This window comes from Homo sapiens, chromosome 6 (genome assembly GCF_000001405.40).
Source record: "Homo sapiens chromosome 6, GRCh38.p14 Primary Assembly".
Taxonomy (NCBI): Eukaryota; Metazoa; Chordata; class Mammalia; order Primates; family Hominidae; genus Homo; species Homo sapiens.
The window spans coordinates 160,028,158-160,044,226 of record NC_000006.12 but is presented as its reverse complement, the minus strand read 5'-3'; the positions used below and the strand labels follow the sequence as shown (position 1 = coordinate 160,044,226).

General features: G+C 45.7%; 1 protein-coding gene across 1 annotated transcript in view; it reads right to left on the bottom strand.

Moving 5' to 3' along the window:
* IGF2R (insulin like growth factor 2 receptor) overlaps window positions 1–16,069 on the bottom strand; it is a 142,423-nt gene that overhangs the window by 67,278 nt on the left and 59,076 nt on the right. Inside the window, exons 7-12 of the mRNA NM_000876.4 lie at window positions 14,572–14,677; window positions 11,514–11,676; window positions 11,120–11,285; window positions 9,705–9,808; window positions 3,503–3,667; window positions 939–1,079 (exon numbers count right to left, since the gene is read on the bottom strand). Coding sequence (NP_000867.3) covers window positions 939–1,079; window positions 3,503–3,667; window positions 9,705–9,808; window positions 11,120–11,285; window positions 11,514–11,676; window positions 14,572–14,677 — 845 coding nt within the window. The remainder of the gene's footprint in view (window positions 1–938; window positions 1,080–3,502; window positions 3,668–9,704; window positions 9,809–11,119; window positions 11,286–11,513; window positions 11,677–14,571; window positions 14,678–16,069) is intronic.

Genomic DNA, 16,069 nt, shown 5'->3' with positions numbered 1-16,069 from the left:
AAGAAAGACCAAATGGCTTGCAACATGCATCAGCACCAACTGTAAACTGACATTGTCCCCTACTGTCAGGGCTTCAGCTACCCCAAGACACAAAGTCTTTTGAAAGCACAGCCACACAGCCAAAGGGTGAGAATGTGTCTCATATCCAAAGCAGAAATTAACGAAACCTGTTTAGCAACCCAAGCAGGAGGCCGCTTACTTCTTAGTTCACTTGCTTTTTGTTATAAAGGATTAAAACTCTGTTCCAAAGTCCTTCTTAGTAAAGACATGGACATGCCTGAACCTGCTTTTAAAGACACACCAGCAATTCTGAATACCGAGATAATTCCTAAAATCCAACGAGGCTCACAATTCCTTATTGAATGCTTTTAACAGATTCTCACTATTCTCATAGCCTGGCATTTTCAAAGTGAGTCATAAATGACAAAAATGAAGTGCTAAATACCTGTATCAAATAATTGAGAAGTCTCTGCATGACAGCTACGGGACCAAAACAATGACAGCAAAAGGAAGCGAAGCATGCAAGCCCCTCTTACACTAGGGCTACAGCTGAGATTACACTTCACTCAAGCCATAACTTTTGAACGATTCTAGGCAATAAAGTTGTTAAAAAATAAAATAAAATCACTTGTACACAAACACTGGCAATGTTATTCTTCAGGTTACAAACTAAAAAGATGATGTAGTATTTTCCACGTGGTTCCTTCTGTTCCCAGTTATGGCTTTAGCCCATGTCAGGGAGCTCTAGCCAACTTCAGGATTCCAGAGTGCATCAAGCAATTACTGACATTTGAGTTATGAATGAAAAATTTTTACCATCCTTCATGTGATTATAGAAAGAGGAGGCTTAGATGAACCACAGAAAGATCTTCTAACTCATTCCAAACTGGATGCCCTAGAAAAGCATCACCTAGATCTTCCATCCAGGCACAACTCACCCACTGCACACACTGCCGCGTCCTCGGGACACCCTCGTGCCTTGCCTTCCTGCAGCACTCTGTGACAAATATTAATGAAAAAATGCTTCTTCTCTGTTTCCGTCTGACTGCCATCCACAGCTTCCCAATTCTGCTCTGGTTCTGTAACAAAACAAAAGTGTATTTTAGCCAAAAGCAATGCTGATTTCTCTGAGTCACAGAATAAATAGTGATTAAGCCAAAAGTCAAGGGCTCAAAGTTCCCAAACCACTTCGTCACTCAATCCCCAGCGCTGTTTCTGGAACCCGGGCAGACTGAAAGCACAAAAATTCACCGAGATTCTCAGGTTTCTCATTTAATGTGACAGAAACAAACTACATCCCAATACTTCTTCAGAAGAGTAGGCCCAACTGGGGGACAGAGAACTGAACGGCAAAATTCTCCCAAGCCCCACAGTATGAAATTAGAAACTGAAAACCCAAATCAAGAAGCCAGCCTGTGTCTTGGGACGCAGTAGAGTGGTACATCATTGCTAGTACACCCCGCTTAACACCATTGCTAATACACCCCGCTCGGCCCCTGTGAAGGCCTGTGAAGCTAAAAGAAACCAGCAACCTCTTACACATCTGCAGACTGAGTGCAGGATGCAATGCATGCTACCACAGAAGACAAGCAAGGTACCACAGGTGGCCGCTGAACTCACAAGACTGGTGAGCTGGTCAGTGTGATCAGACACTGATTAGGCACCTGCAGGACGTGAGGGGGCACCAGCTGAGTGTCACCAGCACAGCAAGCAAGGGCGAGGGCATCCACAAAAAGCAAACCACACGGCGAACAGTCGCTGAAGGAGTAACTTACAAAGTGTGTCAAGGAGGAGGTAAAGATATAAAAATACACGTTCTCATTTGAAAATGCTCCCTTTGCAGGTTGGGTACTGGGGTTTGGAAGGCAAAACCCCATGACTCATCAGTGGTGATACAGTACATTTGGAGAAGTACTTTCCAATGTCAACAGCCTAAAAGAAACCATACAAGACTGTGCATGTGAACAAGGACCTGCCCTAAACACTGGAAGTCTGGGGTGGAGCCAGGTGGGCTGTAAAGTCTTAAGGGACTTCTTCAAGCAGTAAGGAATGGTTTTAGCTCTCCCTTCATAATTTACTTAGGGCTATCTACGCACAAATACCACGAAATACTGCAGATTCCAAGAAACCAGAGCTATGTCAGGAAGTCTGTAGATTGAAAAATGTATCTCTCCTTATCTCATAGATCCTAGGTTGTCTCTTATACACAGTAATGTTTAAAAAAAAAAAAGTTAACTTAAGGAATCTAACAGCACCACCCAGTTCACCGTAAGAAACCCGGGCCTGGAGAGCAGCTCGCTCAAGCAAATGTGGTTGGATGCGGCAACACCAGTCCTCAGCCAGGTCTCCAACTCTGCAGCTAGAACTCTTTCCACTTCACAGAAAACCAATGTCTTCACTAGCACACATGTGCCAGAATTAACTATGGCACCGTTCCCAGCAGCACACAGGGTGTTTAACCACAACAGCACTGCCAGCACTCCCTGCCCAGGCGGTTCACAGTGAGGCAGGTTCTCAAACACTCCACAAGAGGGATTCCTCTTTCTAACCTGGTATTTAGCAAACCAGGTGGGACTCAGAAGACAGGAGCAGCAGTGCTGTCACCCTGGCAGTTTTATTTTTCTTTAAAAAAAAACAAGATACATGTGGAGAACGTGCAGGTTTGTTACATAGGTATACATGTGCCATGGTGGTTTGCTGCACCTACTGATCCATCCTCTAAGTTCCCTCCCCTCACCCCCAACCCTAAACAGGCCATGGTGTGTGCTGTTCCCCTCTGTGCCCATGTGTTCTCAATGTTCAACTCCCACTTACGAGCGAGAACATACCGCCAGCAGTTCTGTGACTGTTCTGGGTGGTAATTACATGAGGCAAGTCATTCTCTCTGCTTCGGGTCATCTCCCCCTTACAGAGGCAACTGGCTTCTGTACACCTAATTTGAGCTGCCAAGAGGGTAAAACCAGAAATCCCCCCCATCAGATTATCCCTGCTTGAGACTCCCATTCTTATTATTCCACCTGCTCTGTTTCCTGCTAAATTCCAGGCCCCCAAGGACAGGGGTTGTGCTGTGGGGGGCGCTGCTGCCTCCTTGGCACCTCATCCGGTGCCTGCCGTGCAACAGCAAGCTCAGCCTCGAGTACAAGCCCACTGCACGCTGAGGCAGCGGTGAACAGCAGCCCAAGGTGCACATCCATCTGCCTAGAGGATCCAAACAGAAGAACCCCAGGGGGCAGAGGCTGCAGATCCCACCTCAGAGATGGAAGAGAGGCAGTGTGTAAAAGGGTGAAAACACAAGGTCAAAAATGCTGGTCTCAAATTCAGTTATTTCACCTCCCAGTCCAATGCTCCTTCTAATAATTCACACAGCCACATGAAAAAACTGGGGGAGGGCTGTGACGCAACCCACTGACAAAGAAAATAGTAACCGCATTTCCAAAAGTACTCATGGGAAAATGTTCCATGAGCATGTGGACTAAGACCCGCATGGCAAGGAGGGCAGTACCTGCATGGCGGACCAGCGCGGACAGGTCATAGCGCTTCTTCCCGTCGGTGGCACCGCAGAGGAGGTCTTCCTTCTCCTTAACACAGGCGTATTCCGTGTCCCATGTGAAGAAGTAGGTGCAGTCAACCTCCCCTGTGAATACAGGAGTTCCTTTCCCATCGTTACCTGCACAATTCAAGAGGAGAAATTTAAACTCCATACGTGACCAAAATTGAGGAACAGCTAAGGAGCAAGGAAGAAACTGAACAGGACCAATGCCAACTGCTCCGTTAAAAAATTCAGGTCCAGGTTTTTTTAGAGACCATGGGGATCTGAGTTGACACAGGCTTCTATTAAGCTTCAGATGCTTAACCCTAAGTCCTCGATGGCAGGCCAGCATGCCTTTCACCTTGGGAGACATTGACAGAAGGCTGTGTACAGCATCTCCAAAGATAAGATTAAAAGGGCAGGCAGGAGGAACGCAAGAGCAGTGAGTGGGATCCTCTGCTCCCGGGCTGTGGTCAGCTCCCAGAGGCTCCTGAACATCTCTGGGTGACACTGGGGACTCACAGAAAGGAGGACAGAAATGGAGCTCTAGTTCCCTGTGCACTGCTGACTTAGTGATGCGACTGTGAACAAGACAAGTTCTCTGGGACTCATCCCTAAAGTAAAACAAGAGTGGAAGCCATCTATAGTCAGTCGCTCCCAGTGAAGCACGCCAAGGTCCTATGCCAGCCCCACAATGTTAGCAGCACAACTCCAAACAGTGCTGAAATTCTGTGGTTCCGTCAGTGCACCTGTCTGTAACACCCTCCTCAAATCAAGCCTCTTCTTCCACCAAGAGTGAGCCACCCAGATTTCCCATCCATCAGCAGGAATAGTTCAGGCCTAAGTCTGAAAACCAGCTCTTCACAGGCCACGTCCCCATCCCATGGACGCTGAGATTCAGAGGCTTTGCTGACTTGCTCCTTGCTGGAAATCCTATCCCTGCACCTTTCCAGGCTAGGGGTCCGTGGGCACAACACTCCTTTTCCCACCCCTGATGGTTTCATAATCCTTGTCTGAGCCTCCCACCATGTGATCTGCCTTCTTGAGGTTTGGTATCATAAGCTAGGTAATGATCTAAGAAAACAGGAAGTAAGATTCTGTACCAAGAGCAAATGATATTTCAATTGTAATTTCTATCCAATCTTTAATATTATCATCACTATAATTATAATACCAGCCACAGCGGCAAACCTGTAGTGAGCACAATCTCAGCCAGGCACTGAGCTCAGCACCTCGGCTACATAAAGGCAAGCTGCAGAAGAACAGGCTCTGTTTAAGTACTTTCTTTATACAGTTACGTGCTGCATAACAACATTTGGTCAACAACAGACTGCATATAAAACGGTAGCCTCAAAAGATTATAGTATCGTATTTTTAGTGGACCTTTTCTATGTTTAGATATATTTAGATACTCAAATACTTACCGTTGTGTTACAAGTGCATGCAGTATTCAGTACACTCACATGCTATACACACTTGTAGCCCAGGAGCCAATAGGCTACACCATATAGCTTAGGTGTGCAGCAGGCTATACCATCTAGGTGTGTGTTAAGTACACTCTATGATGTTCACACAATGACAAAATCGCCTAATGACACATTTCTCAGAACATATTCCTATTGTTAAGCAACACATGACTATATTAATGTATTTGATCCTCAAAACCCCATGGCAAAGGTACAATTTTAGCACCATTTTGCAGATTTAGGGTGGCTAAATAATTTGCTTATGGTTTCATAACTAAAAACTAGGGCAGCTGGGAATCAGACCCTGAGGGTCTGCCCTCATCCGTGCTCATAACCACAAGGCAAGATTGCCCCACTCTACTGTGGGGTTTTTTCTATTTTTCTTTTTTTCTTTGGTTTTCTCTCCTGTGTTTTTTGTTTGTTTGGTTGGCTGGTTTGGTTTGGTTTTTAATAAGTACACTAAGCCACTGTCTTTAAGGAATGCCTTCCACCTTCACCTCCTGGGCGCAGCTGACAACCCAGAGGCAGCTACCATAGCTGGGCCCCTGAGCTTGCCGGTCAACTAACAGCAACAGTGACGCGCCTCTGCCTCTCTTCATCCCGCCCACAAGGTTTACACACAGTTTAATCCTACTAGATTCACATTTCACTACTGACAAAGATTTGTATTCTGCAAACGTGAAGAAAAACGTGTAAGTTTACAAATAATTAAATACTACTACAAATCGTCCTAGTACTTTTGAGCTGGTTTTACATCTGAGACATACTAATAATCTGCAGGCAGAGTCCATTTTGTAAATAACCATTGCTACGTACCTTACACGTATTCTTACTTAATTCCTCAAAGAATTTTAGCAGAACAGTAAGCTGTGCTCCCCTCTCCCAAACCACTTGGGTTGATATTTAAGCATACTGGGCTTTGACTTCAGAAATCACTATTCATGAGGCCTATGGTTTCTGTCCACTCATCAGCAATGTTAGGATTAGCTCTGCACAATCTCTCCCTCACTCACACAATCCCCAAGTTGCCAGTCTGGCACCACAGGCTCTAGTTTATTCTCCAGCACACCACTTTGTGTCCTCAGTCTCTCAATTCCAGCAAAAGGGGAAGGAAGGTTTTCAAATGGAACCAAGGAGCTCTCTGCCTAAGGAGGAGGCAGCAGCACCCATTTCTCTGTGGCAAAAACAATGCTACCTCTTACCCAACTAGTTTAATTTTTCCTCTAGACACATAGCTAAACTCCGTTTCCCAGCCTCCCCTGATATTCAGGCTGGGCCAAGTGACTTATTTCTGGCCTGGAAAAAAAATAAAACAAAGCAAATTGATGTTCCCATCCTGCAGAGCCCCTGGAAGTCACATCTGCAGATGGCAGAAACACAGGATGGAAAAAGCGTAGGTCTCCAAATGACCACATGGAGCAGAGCCCGCACCCCCGACCCCAGCCCCATCCCCAAAGACTAGCACTGAACTAAGAAAATAAACCTTTAATGGGCTGAGCCACTTAAATTGTGAGTAGTTTATTAGCCTATCCTAATGAATTCTGCTCTTCCAAAAAATTATCTAACATCTTTATTTAAAAAAATCACCAATAATAAAGCATCGCTTTACAACAAACTAGATTTAAACTGGTAAAAAATATTATGACCAAAAGATGCGCTTGCATCCTGAAAAGTACATGAACCTAGATTCACATGAATAATTCCTAGAGATCCAACTTAAACCACACTTCTATTACATAGCCAATTAACACTCGTTCACCTTCAAAAATACATCTATCTAATAAACAGAGTCTACCAAGGGATATTCTCCAAAAACTCTAAGTTTAAATTCGAGCAAAATAATAATGAACTAATTTTACAGTACACAATTTGCTCTCAGAGTTTGGAGTGCTGAATTACAGAGCTGGAAGGAAATGTAAGTATTTTTTAATCCAACTCCTGCCTGAGAGCCAGCTCAAAACCCTCCCACAAAACACCTGACATCTCTCTGTCCAGGCTCCTTGTTACAATCATAATGAAAACAGCCTAGGAAAACATGGGTTTTTTAACATCAGGATGTCACTGTTAATTTTGTTAAGTACAACGATGGTACTGAATTTACATAAAGGAATGTTCGTTCTTGGCATCAGGGTGGGGTGATATGAGCCATCAATGACGCATGGCTTACATGAAAAATCTGGCAAAACATCAATGGCTGTCAGAGTGGCAGGCATGTAAATTTCTGTTTTAATGTTCCATGTTTGAAAATTTTTATAATGAAAAGGAAAAATGGAGCTATGGGAGGCCTTCACCCGTTTTGTCAAGCCTCAGCTCATCTGGGCTTTAGCTCCCTCTGGGCCCATGATTTCATAACTAAAAACTAGGGCAGCTGGGAACCAAACCCAGAGGGTGTGGCCTCATCTATGCTCATAACTACAAGGCAAGATCTCCCCACTCTACTGCGGGTCTTCTTTTTTTTTTCTATTTTTCTTTCTTTCTGTTCTTTGGTTTTTCTCTCCTGTGTTTTTTGTTTGGTTGGCAGCTCATCGATGTCCACACCTCTTCCCTGTAAGTCTGAAACGATATAATGCCCTTCTCATATCCTGCTCGTCCATTTCGATCTTTTTGGATAATGATTCTGTCTTCCCAGCATCCCCAAATGAGATCAGCACACTCTCAAAGATCTCGGCCAAGTCATTAATAAAAAGCCCTGAACAGAACAGGCCAAAGGAGGTCATCACAAAGTTGCAGGGAGATTCAGACCACAGCAGAGCAGCCTGAGCCAGCCGGAGTCCAGGAGAGCCAGTTGGGGTGACCTGGGAGCCAGAACCAAGGTCAGGCATCAGAGGGGCTGGGCACATGGGGAAGATACAGGCTGCATCCCTGGGGACTGGGGACACCAAGTAGGAGAGACGTGATTCAGGGTGCAGACATGGCTAAGGAGGCTAGTAGCGTAGGTAGGCTAGGAGGTGAGGGCGATGAGAGAATGATGGAGAAGCTGAGGGGTGCAGGGAGTGCTCAGACCAGATGCGAGGTCCATCCAGAGGCCACACTGATTTTCTCATTCACGAGTCAGATGTATGTCATACCCCTGCTGAAAATCCTTGGGACTTCACAGATTTCCAGATATAATCCAGCTCCTCTGCAGGACATACAAGTTTCTTACAATACTGCACACTCACCGTTCCAGGGTCATCTTCAGCCACATTCCCCATACACGCCTCTAACCTGCTCGCAGTTCCCCTGGTCCATGCCTTTGAATGTCTGGAGGCCCAGGCCCTAAAGCCACCCCAACACGGGACTGGCATGCTCCTCAATGTAGTGTGGCTCAGGCAGCACTTCCTCCTCTCTGAACTGCCTGACCCCTGCACCCAGCCCAGACCCCAGCCAGCTGACCTCGGTGCCTCCCTCCTGGTAAAGCAGCGGAGCGACAACACTAAGCACTCGCTCTACTCTAGCAGCACTGCCCTGAACCTCCATCATCATGCTCCTTATCTCTCTCTGCTGCTAGTCTGTGAACACCTAGAGAGCCATCTATCCTCACAACACCCTCCAGCCTCATAGGGCCTAAGCAAATAGGTACTTAAAAAATGTGTGTATTGTGAAAGTAACAAAAGGGGCCATGTAGAGAACAAGGACAGCAATGGCAGACCTGTGAACAAGGGCATCCCAGGGGCAGGTGCCACAACAGCAGTTACTGGGGCATTTTGGGCTTGAAAGCCTTCCCAGTGGCAAGACCCTGGGCTGGTTCTTTGCCTGCTTGCTAGGACGTTCGCAGGGGTGCGGTGCTACCAGGGCAGGGGTGCCTGTCTCTCCCAACGCAGACCTGATCTCCGGAGGCTTCGAGAGCATGGTTCACATCATGTCCAGCTGCCTCTCCCTCATCCCACAGTGAATCCTGTAGCAACCCATCCTGTAACCAAGCCACCCAAAGCTCTGCTGTAGAAAAACACACAGAACACACGGAAGCAAGGGCCAGAAAGACCCTCTGGGTGGGGCAGCACTTAGGCTGGAAACCAGAATGGGCCCTAGAATTGCTCTGAGCAGTGGTGGGATGCCCTGCAGGGTGCCTGGAGTCACAGCCTGGGGGTCAACAGATGGGGCAGGTCTCTGATGATGACGGAATCCCATCATCTCTCTACAGCTACAACTGTGTCTACAATCGTCAAGATATGGACAGCGGCACCGCTTTTTGATATGCCAGTGCCTTGGTGACTCAAGGGTGCTTCTCATTACTCAGAGAAATGCACGCCTTCAGCTTCAATGCACCCAGTGACATTCTGCAATCCCCAGATCCAAACTCTACCATAGGGTCACCACTTTGCAAAAAGGATTATCTTGATACTCATTACATAAAAGAAGAGGTCACTCAATCAAAATTGACAAGCCATCCCGCCCCTGCCGAATCTGTCCTTGCTGTAGTTTAGTGTGCACCAAAATTCAAGATGAAAACTTTCCCAACAAGCTCATTGCTGGGCCCATTCCCAAAACAAACAGAGAAAACCGAGGAAAACACAAACAGGATGTGTGTGTGTCCACTGGGGCAGTGGGGGTGGGGAAAGTGTTACTCCAACAGAAAAAACCCAGTCTGGGGGCTAGAGCTGGCCAGTCCAAAGGAGGGCATCTGACTCCTCCATTCAGTGTTCACTTCCAAGAACACGCCTGTGCACACACACAAGCACATGCCCATGAATGCAAAGAGGAGGGGCTGAACTCCAGCGCACACTTACCTGCGGTTTTATTGCACTCAAAGTTTATGACGCTCATCCGCTGAAACCCTGAGCTGCATTCATCACCTCCAAAATATATCAAGGTGAGGTCTCCATCCGAATATCTAGATTTTTGTGAATACACAGACAAATGTGTTTGGGAGAACCAAGAAAAAAACTTGAATCTTTTTAAATGTCTACATTAAGCCTTTTGCGTAGCATCAACAAATCACTACGGATCTAAAACAGCAAGCTCTCTAGCCAGCTAGGGAAAAATATCTACAGGAAATGAGTTCCAAATGTATGGACTTGACATCCTCTCGCTTCAAAGTAGTAACTGGCTGGAAGAAAGTGCCGAAGGTTTTGCTGTGAGCATGAAGACTTCTCTTGTTCTCACTTTTAGATTTCGTACAAAATAAATAACGCCCAAGAATTAGACAGCCTTCTTAACAGCCGCCATGAACACAGCCGTGCCTGAGGGGCCTTGGACTATACTGATCCTGAACAATTTGAAAGAAGCAAAAATAAAATGTTTAAAATGCAGCTTCTCGGCAGATATTCCATGCTTTTAAAAAGCTCAAAGACCAGTTCTGGGGTTTTTGCAGTTTTCTGTTCCTAATTTTTGAATCGTAACTGCCCCTAACACATTTTCAGAAAACTGCATTTTCATCCTGCTTTTATGAAGGTCAACTACCAAGTTAAGGGTCAAAAGAAATGTGCTGAATGCATTTTTTTAGTTGTTTAAAATTTTCTGTTATGTTGATGGTGCTTCAGATTCTCAAACTGCCAGAGAAAAATCAAAACTCCTTAAAAACGAATTTTAAAATAAAAAACCCTATCAACTGTAAACTCATTAAATACTTTTCCTACAGTAGGTTCCGTACAAACAGCAAGTTTATAAAGTGAACAGTTCTAACAGAAGCATTCTTACTCTAAAGCCAGGAAAAACATTTGATTGTTTAGTGACAAACGGCAACTTGCCGAAGTCTACTAGGAAGGAATGCTGGAGTAACTGATTCTCCCGTACCTTACGGAAAATGGAAAGAGGAAGAAAAGGAGAGGGAGTTATGTTTCACAAGAATACACACAACGCACTTGAAAATTATGCAGGCCAGTCCCAAGGCACACGCCTCTAATCCACGCACTTTGGGAGGCCAATGTGGGAGGATCACCGAGGCAAGGACTTCAAGATCAGCGTGGGCAACATGGCAAAACTCCATGTCTACAAAAACTACAGAAACCAGCTAGGCATGGTGGTGCCTGCCTGTAGTCCCAGCTACTCGGGAGGCTGAGGTGGGAGAATTACTTGAGGCAGGGAAGTCAAGGCTGCAATGCACCGAGATTGCACCACTGCAGTCTAGCCTGGGCGCCAGAGTGCAACCCTATCTCAAGAAATACAAAGAAAAAGGAAAATCGCACAGAGGTTGTTGACGTACCGGAGGGTCTGATTGTGGTATCTTCCTGCTGCTTTGACTTGAGAGGTATCGCTCTTTTTCACTTGGCAAACTGCAGCTTGTTTTTTATTACAGAACTGTATTTCAGTTTCTCCACAGACATTCAAATAAAACAAATATTCTTTTCCATCTGAAATATAGGATGAACCTAAAAACAGGGAAATTAACAAGAAGAGGCTTGTTTTATATGAATAGGTATTAGAAGATTACAGTCTTACTTAGTCAAACCTGAATCCTATTTCTGAAACACCAGCCCAAACTACAGCTCTCTCCAACCCAGAAGCATGCATGGACTGACTTGGCCCCTACTGTCCCGTTCCCTCTCTCGATCCCCTTCTTCCTAAGCAGCGCCAGGAGGCAGAAAGCACCTGCTTACCTCCGCTCTGGGCAAGTGGTGTGAGGTCTATGGAGACATCCTGCTGCTCGCCGCTCAGAGAACAAGTTTTACTTTCCAGGTAATCTCTGTGGCAGGCATACTCAGTAATCCACTCAATTTCATAGCGGCAGTTGGATTTAGCTGTGAGTTTGGGAATGGTGCCCTATCAGGAACAATGTGAAAGAAGCAAAATAAAAAATGTTTCATGCAGCTTAATGCAGATTTTCCACACTTATGAAAAGCTCAAAGACAGGTTGTTAGGTTTCTACATTTTGCTGTTTCTGTTTTTTGAATCATAATTGCCTCTAACACATTAAGATTATTTGACTTATAACAACTCAGTAAAGTTACTTTTAATTTTTTTCTAAACTGTTATTTTTTTTCCATTTGACTCGTAACACCTCCATTTCCTCTTTACACTCTATTCCCTTTCTAGTCTAGTCACCTTCAGAGAGACACTCAAGCTTCGGCCAGCAAGCACCTGGACTCAGTGGCACGTGGCAATCACTAGGACATCGGCAAGCGCTAACAGGCCGTGCAGGGTGCATGGTCCATTCACCGCTTTCCACGAGGTGCTCAACTGGAGTGGTGCAACCCTGACACTGAGTGAACATTATCACATGCGTGCACAACCAGAGACACGGTCCACAACCCCTTTGGGATCCTGGGCACCACCATATCTGTACCCACACCTGCTCCTGGGTGAAGCCAGGGCACCACCCAGACACAAACCCGATTCTGCCATTGTGTTGCTTCTACAGAGCAGGAGCTCCACCATTCGTCTTTGATGTGAGCCATGAAGGGGGCTGATGGGGTCCCTGCTCACCAGGAATGTCACTGCCAGCTTTTTAATCACCCTTAGGAGACACGACTTACTGGGCTTAGCACCGGGCATAGCCGTGCTGCTTCCCAGCACCATTCATTCCGTAAATACTCACTGAGCACCTGCTACACGCCAGGCACTAGGTGCCAGGTTTACAAACAGGTCGCACACAATTAGTAAGTTGCAGAGCTGCAGGCCCAACCCTCTTCTGTTTGACTCATAATCGATGCTTCTGCCCACGTGGCTCAGTGCAGTCTGACACATGGTGATGCAGACCCCAGGGCTCCGTAAGAGAAACCAGGCACAGAAAGCCACACAGTGTAGGATTCTCCTGACATAAAACATCCAAAAAAGGCCAATCCACAGAGACAGGAAGAAGGTGGACAGTTGCCAGGGCTTGGGGTATGAATGGGAAGAGACTGCTAATGGGCAGGAGGTTTCTTTTTGGGGTGATGGAAATGCAAAATTAGATTGTGATGATGGTTGCACAGTTCTAAAAAAAAATACTAATAACCACTGAATTGTACTTAAAAAAAACTGAACTTTACAGTATGTAAACCCAATAAATAAATTAAATAAAGCATTTTTAAAATGATCTATATGACAAGGTGAGTGTTTACTAAATACCAGCTCCTAAAATCATTCAATGAGCAAATGTAAATGCTTAAACAAACCTCCCAAGTATTACAGTGTCCAAGCACATGTCACACAAGGTCTGCCCAGTGAACAGTTAAGCTTGAAAAGAAACCTGGCCGGTGCGGTGGCTCACACCTGTAATCCCAGCACTGTGGGAGGCCGAGGTGGACAGATCACTTGAGCCTGGGAGTTCAAGACCAGCCTGGGCAACATAGCAAAGCCCTGTCTCTACTAAAAATACAAAAATTAGCCAGGCGTGGTGGCACATGCCTGTAGTCCCAGCTACTCAGAAGGCTGAAGTGGGAGGATTGCTTGAAGTGGGAGGATTGCTTGAACTAGGGAGGCGGAGATTGTAGTGAAGTGAGATCGTGGCACTGCACTCCGGCCGGGGCGACAGAGCAAGACACTGTCTTTAAAAAAAAAAAAAAAAAACAGAGGGAACTTCTTGCTCCACTAATAACAAATCAGCCTCTTCTTCTAACACCAAGAAATGCCTCATACCCCTTCGAAGAAAAAGGAGGAAAACTCCCAATTCTCTTGGTTCTCACAGTGTAAAATGATTCTTACCAAATGTAGAACAAATAAAAAGGGAAAACACTAAAACCACTACCGCCTGAGAACATCTCACTGGGCTTAAAAGATTTCAACTCACATCTGTAGGTACAAATGAAAAGTGTGAATAAATATTCCTCCCCATTCACATTCAGAACAAACATCAGACACTCCGGCCTTCATTCAGCTGACAGCACTTGATGTGGAAGTCTGGGGACAGAAAGTGGAAAGCTGAGCCCTGCACTGTCTCCATATCCCACACACACCAGGCCAGCTGCCAGCCTGACGTCAGAGCAAATTCCACATTTGCTTGGGGGAAGGGGAGTGTGGTTCTCTGGCAAAAGAATTCAGCCCCTCCCTACTTCACCCTATTACTAAGAAGGCAGAAAGAAACTAAAGGAAAGCCCTGCCCTACCCCTCCCTCCCTGGGGGACGCCTCCTTTCCATCAGCACCTGCCCCTGGTTAAAACACTTGCAGGCGCTGGGCACTCAAGGACAAGTAAGTCTCAGCAGCCACACTCGAAGAGTTTACAGCTGCGCTGGAGATTTCATCAACAGCAGAGGGCACAGCAATAAACTGGCCTGTGATGAGAAAGAGGGGAGAAGGCATGGATGGGGGTTTAGGGGCAGACTGGGAAGAGAGAGGGAGGGAAAGGCTTCTCATAAGAAATCACAGGCTTGAAATTCTACTTCGTTTTTCCACTATTCACTAAAACAACCCAACTACCAAAAAAAAATCTGTCCGTGAACTACTTAAAATAATCTCACAGAGACTAGAACAAAACACCATCCCATTATATGTGGAGGCCCCTCCGGATTGCTGTAAAAAAGCAAAAGGCAAAATGCAAACAGCTCTCCCTGAGTGAGCTGCATGTGACAGAAGCTATCCCAGGAAGCTTGTCTTCTCCTGAGAACCCACCAGTGCCTCTGTCATGGCTCCCAGCTTCCTGCATCCAGGCCCACCCTGCCCCAAGCCCAGAAACGCGTTCGCATGGGCAACCCAGGCTACTGTGCGCCACATTAGTGATCAGGAGACGAGTCACTTACCTCTCTCCGCTCCGACGGGCAAACAAATGTAATAGTCACCGCAGGGCTGTGACCATCACAAAAGTCTAGCTTTCCTGCCTCTTCCCTCACGTAACTCAGGACAAGCCTGGGAGAGCCACATTGAGAAAAGAGTATTACAAAAGTATAAAGTACATCCAAATTCATATGTTGCCCTGAGCATTCAGCACATTCACTTGGGGGGGAGGAGAGGGTAACAGAAGAAATATTAAAATATAAAAGTAGATATGGTATAAAATGACTTTATTTCCATTTGAAAAAAAAAAAAGTTTTAAGTAAACTCCAGTGAGTGTTATTTTGTTAAAAAATCAAATATCTAAAGTGACCAGCACATAAATTTGATATATTAAGAAAACCTGGCTGGGTGCGATGGCTCACGCCTGTAATCCCAGCATTCTGGGAGACCAAGGTGGTGGATCACCTGAGGTCAGGAGTTCCAGACTACCCTGGCCAACACAGCGAACCTCCATCTCTACTAAAACTACAAAAATTAGCTGGGCATGGTAGTGCGCCTCTAGTCCCAGCTACTGAGGAGGCTGAGGCAGGAGAATCACTTGAACAGGGAGGCGGAGGTTGCAGTGAACCAAAATCACACCACTGCACTCCAGCCTACGTGACACAGCAAGACCCATCTCAAAAACAAAAGCAAAAACAAAAACAAAACCTGTTTGATCTGCTTCATGTCCTAGAATAAGGAAAGAGAAAAGGAACAAAAAAATTATTTTTTTTAAAAAAAGGAAGAAACACCATTTGACTAAAACAAGCAAAAAACGGTTGTAAATGAGATAACAAAATTAAAAAAAAAAAAAGGCAGACAAGCAGGCCAGGTGCATTTTTGCCCACAAGGCTAGTCAATCATTTCCTCTTTATACAACAAATTCTAAGTGCCAGCCAAAAGTTTTGTTTTGTCTTAACCCCACAGCACCTGCCCAGCAGTTACAGCAGTTACTGAACTGGGGTTCTCTTCCACCACCCAAACCACCATCCAACATGGCCCCCACCACCAGGGTTTACTGCACTCAGTGTGGAAAGGGCCCAGTGCCCCTGGCTGCCTGCTAGAGAATAGCTGATCACAGATGACCTGCCTTTTCCCACAAGAGAAGCTCACACTTGCTCAGTGTCCCACATGTTACTAAATCGTCACACAAACTCATTCATATTAAGAATTACCAATGTGTCACTTAAAGACTCTGTTATGGACTGAACTGTTTCCCCTCAAAATTTGTATGTTGAAGGCCTAAGCCATAGCTCAGCATGTGACTATATTTGGAGACAGGGCCTTTAAAGAGGTGAACAAGGAAAAAGGAGATCATGTGAGTGGGCCTTAATCCAAAAAATCACTGGTGTCCTTATCAGAAGAGGAGATTCGGACACAGACCCCCGCAGAGGGAAGGCCACGTGAAGACACAGAAAGAAAACGGCCATCTAACGAGCCAAGGAGAGAGGCCTCAGAACAAACCAGCCCCGGTGACGCCTTCTT